We start from the raw sequence: 4968 nt of genomic DNA on the forward strand, positions 1-4968 counted from the left end.
AGGAGTCCTTTTTATATTACGTATATGAATCCTTACCAGATATATGATTCGCAAACATTTTCTCCCATTCTGTGGTGATCTCTTCAGCCCCTTGATAGTGTCCTTTGATGCACAAAAGATTTTAATTTTGATGAAGTACAATTTATCTTTTTGTTGTTGTTGTCATTGCCCATGCTTTTGGTGTTATATCTAAGAATCCAAGGTCGGCCGGGCACGGTGGCTCACGCCTGTAATCGCAGCACTTTGGGAGGCCGAGGCAGGTGGATCACTTGAGGTCAGGAGTTTGAGACCAGCCTGGCCAACATGGTGAAACCCCATCTCTACTAAAAATACAAAAATTAGCCGGGCATGGTGGCAGGCGCCTGTAATCTCAGCTACTAGGTAGGCTGAGGCAGGAGCATCGCTTGAACACAGGAGGTGGAAGTTGCAGTGAGCCGGGATCGCGCCATTGCAATGCAGCCTGGGTAATGGAGCAAACTCCGTCTCAAAAAAAAAAAAATAATAATAATAATCATCATCATCATCATCCAAGGTCATGAAGATTTCCCTACATTTTTTCCTAAGTGTTTTATGGTTTTAGTTCTTAAATGTCAGCCTTGGTCCATTTCCAGTTGATTTATGTGAAGGAGGAGGCCCCGCTCCACTCAGGCCCGACTCTTAGTGTTTTAATATCACCACTTTGAGATCACAACCACCTTAGGGAGCAGGAACCGTCCATCCACAGACACAGAAACTCACCTAGAGTGTGTCCAGGGTCACAGAGTGACCAGTGAGTGGCAGAGCCAGGAGCTGGACCAGCCACCCACTCAACAGGGTGCACAGGACCCCAGACCCCCAGGCTTTACCGCCTCTGGACACCAATGCACAAGAGAGTAAACTTGGGGAGTACCTTAGGCAGGTGGTCAGAGGCCTCGGGAGAGGAGACATTTGAGCAGAGAAGGGAGGTGGTGTGGCAGCCGTGTGGACCTGCTGTGGGTGTGTGCACCAGAGCTGTGCTGGTGAGCGAGGAGGAACTACCCAGGAGGGCACACTGGACCAGGGAGAGCCAGCCCGACGGGGGCCAGCTGCCTTTCCCAGCAGGCAGCGGTGTGACCCTCGGGGCAGGGGCTCGGTCCACTGTAGCACAGGGGATCGGGAGGCAGAGGGTCCCCGGGCCTGTAATGAGGAGGAGGCGGGACCCAGGTCCTGGTGGGCTCCCGAAGTGCAGCAGGAAGGGCCCTAGTGCTTCCATGTCACCACCCTGATGGCCTTGGCAGCTGGGAGAGCCCCCTGCCCTGCAGGGCAAGAGGGATTTTCCGCCCCAAGGGAGAGCGTCATATGCCCAGGAGGCAGTTCTGCCTCTGGCTCTTTGCTCCTCCCAGGCCTCCTGTCCTCTATGTCCTTGGAAGTAAAGGGGACAGGTCCTGGGGCTCCACAAAGATAGGCACCTCCTCTCATCCACCTAATGAGGCAAAAGAGGGGGTTCTGCCTCTGAGGCTGAGGGGCCCAGCCCCCTCTGGAAAGAGAGTCCCACTCATGCCCCTCCACCAGGCCCCACCAACAGGAGGCCCTGGCGGCAAGGCCCTGCCTCCCCAGTGAAGACCACCAGGGCCTGGGGGCCAGGGAGGGAGGCTGCCCCCGGCTGGTGAAGGGACACCCCACAGCCACCAGCGGCCACGATTAATCCACACTTGGGGACAGCTTTCGTTCTGAGCAGCTCAGCTCTGAGAGGGAATTGGATACAGGATGGATACCTTGCGGGCTCCTGTTCTCCGAGGGTGGCAAGGGTTGGTGGCATGATGACCCTGATAAGACTTTACGGCCCCTGTTCTCCAGGGTGGGGCAGATCAATTGCTGTTCTCAAGGTCCTGCCAGGGGCCCTTCCTGAAGAAACAAGCAGAGGCTTTGATTTCCTGACCTATCTCGGGAAAACACTTGAGCTAATAATTAATCAGATTATGGATACACTGGCTTTTTTTGTCTTATTTTTTAAATTGTGGTAAAATTTATATAACATAAAATATACCATTTTAACCATTGCTAAGTGTGCATGAAGTACATTCACATCGTTCACCCATCACCATCGTCCCTCTCCAGAGCTTTCTCATCTTCCCAAACTGAGACTCTCTCCCCATTAAACACCCATTTCCCATCCCCTTCCCACAGCCCTGGCCCCTGCTGTTCTACTCTCTCTGTGAGTCGGAGGCTCTAGGGGCCTCAGGTAAGTGCTAACACACAGCATTTGTCCTTCTGTGTCTGGCTTATTCAATGTCCTCAGGGCCGTCCATGTTGCAGCTGTGTCCAGGTTCCCTTCCGTGTTGAGGCCGTCTTACTTTTGAGACCAGTTTGAACCTTTCTTTCTTCGGCTGCTCTAGCAGGTTTCCTGGTACAGTGAGTGCCCAATGGAACGAGCATTTGACCAGCAGCTTCATGGGGGAGGCGCTTTCTCTCTGGGTCTCTGTGGGGAAGGGAAAGACCTTCCTTAAGGAGCACTGGACGCCCAGCACCTGCCTTGGAGGACAGTTTGCTTTCGTGGAAGATTGGGCCACAGAGAGCATTGCTGTGGAAGGAGGCGTCAGAAGTGGGGCCAAGTGCACGTTGCCCTTCCACCTGCGGCCTTGGAGACAGGTCCAAGGTGTACGAGTTACGAAGGCCTTGGGCCGCATGAAACCGAAACCCACAGGAGAGTCGTTCTCCCAGAACAAAGCCCCGAGGTGGCCTCCCAGCTGCCAGAGTCATCTCCTCTGGCTCCTGGGCCTGGGCATTGCTCGTGGACCTCCAAGTTTTGTGTCCATGTCCAAGAGGACAAAGACGGAGGGAGGCCAAGAGCCAACGGCCGTGGCAGCTCCACCCACCACCCAAGCCCACCCAGCAGGCTCCCTTTCCCCTCATTGCCCAGACTGTGTCCCAAGGTCACCTTCTGCAAAGTTTTATGGGGAAGCACTTTGCTGATCCACACACACAGGGTTCTGTCGGTAAGAAGAGGGGAAGATGGACCTCGGGTTGGCAGCAAGCAGGTCCTGCCACTTTTGGTTCCATTTGGGACCCCCAAAGGCTCTGGGGTGAATCGTCCCAGAAGGAGAGGTTGATGAGTTGATGAGGCGGGGTCTTCGGCGCCGCCCCCAAGAGGAGCGCAGAGGAGAGAGAGGGCTAGCATCGAGGAGAGAGGTGTGGGGGGTCAGAATGTTGGGGGCCCAGGGGAGAAGGACAGAGGAAGCGGATGACAGTGTAGTACCAAAGGGCTGTCGATGAGTGACAGGAACAGAGGGGGAATTTTCAGCTGCTGTCCGGAGTGTAGGACTCTGTGCAGAAGGGTACAAGCCTAAAGGGTTTCTTCAAGGAAAACTGTGCTCTGTGACATGGGTAGACCCTGGTACTGTCCCTTTGCGGAAGCGGAACACAGATCGCCATTGTCTTTTGAACCGAACTGAAGATTTCTGGAAGCAGCTGTGGCCCCTGGGTCATGAGGCTGTTTAGATTTATATGGGTTCCATTGAGGATTCTCAGGGATTTTGGACCTAAATTTGGTAACTGTTGCACCTCGAACTGAAATATCATCCCACCATTGAGCAGAAGGACAGCATCCCTAGCCTGGGCAACATAGGGAGACCTTGTCTCTAAATAAATAAATAAAAATTAACCAGATGTGTTGATGCATGCCTATAGTTCTAGCTACTTGGAAGGCTGAGTGGGAAGGATCCCTTGAGCCCAGGAGTTTGAGGTTGCAGTGAGCTAAGATCGCACCACTGCACTCTAGCCTGGGCGACAGAGTAAGACCTTGTCTCTAAAAAAAAAAAAAAGAAAGAAAGAAAAGAAAAAAACAAAGAAAAAAGAAAGAAAGATAATTCTTTGTATATTTTGGATAACAGTCCTTTATCAAATATGTGTTTTGCAAATATTTTATCCCAGTGTGTGGCTTGTCTCCTCATTCTCTTAATACTATCTATTCCAGGGCAGAAGTTGTACATTTTAATGAAGCCCACTTATCAATTGTTTCTTTTATGCACCATGCTTTGGTCTATCTTCTAAAAGTTTTGTTGTTTTGCACTTAACATTTGGGTCTATGATATAATTTGAGTTAAATTTTGTGAAACATTTAAAGTCTGTGTTTAGATTTTTTTATTTGTTTTTCATGAGACTATCCAATTGTTCCAGCATCATTTGTTGAAAAGACTATCCTTTTCCTTTGAATTGGCTTTGCTCCTTTTTCACAGATCACTTGACTATATTTGTGTGTGCCAATTCTGGGCTCTGTATTCTGTTCCACTGATTTATCTGTACAGTCTTTTGCCAATATCACTATGCTGATTGCTGTAGCTTTACAGTAAGTCTTGAACCGAGCAGCGTCAGTCCTCTGACTTTGTTCTTCTTCAGTATCATGTTGGTTATTCTGAGTCTTTTGCATTTCCATATAAATCTTACAGGTTTTTTTTTGTTTTGTTCTGTTTGTTTTGTTTTGTTTTTAGAGGAAGGGTCTTGCTGTCACCCAGGCTGGAGTGCAATAGCATGACCTTGGCCTACAACAGCCTCAATCTCTAGGGCTCAAGCAATTCTCCCACCTCAGCCTCCCAAGTAGCTGGGGTTACAGGCATGCACTGGCACACCCAGTTAAATTTTTATATTTTTGTAGAGATGGGGTCTCATTATATTGTCCAGTCTGGTCTCAAATTCTTGGCCTCAAACCATCCTCCTACCTCAGCCTCCCAAAGTGCTGAGATTACAAATGTGAGCCACCATACAATCAGTTTTTTGATATCTACAAAATAATTTGCTATGGTTTTGATTTTTATTACATTGAATCTGTAGATCGATTTGGGAAGAATTGGCATCCTAATAATATTGAGTCTTCCCATCCATGAACATGGAATATTTATTTAGAGCTTTGATTTCTTTCATCAGAGATTTGCAGTTTATCATGTACATATTTTGTGAGATTTATACCTAAGTCAGGTTTTTGGTGCTAATATAAATGATAATTATGTTTTAATT

Source organism: Homo sapiens, chromosome 11 (genome assembly GCF_000001405.40).
Source record: "Homo sapiens chromosome 11, GRCh38.p14 Primary Assembly".
Classification (NCBI taxonomy): domain Eukaryota; kingdom Metazoa; phylum Chordata; class Mammalia; order Primates; family Hominidae; genus Homo; species Homo sapiens.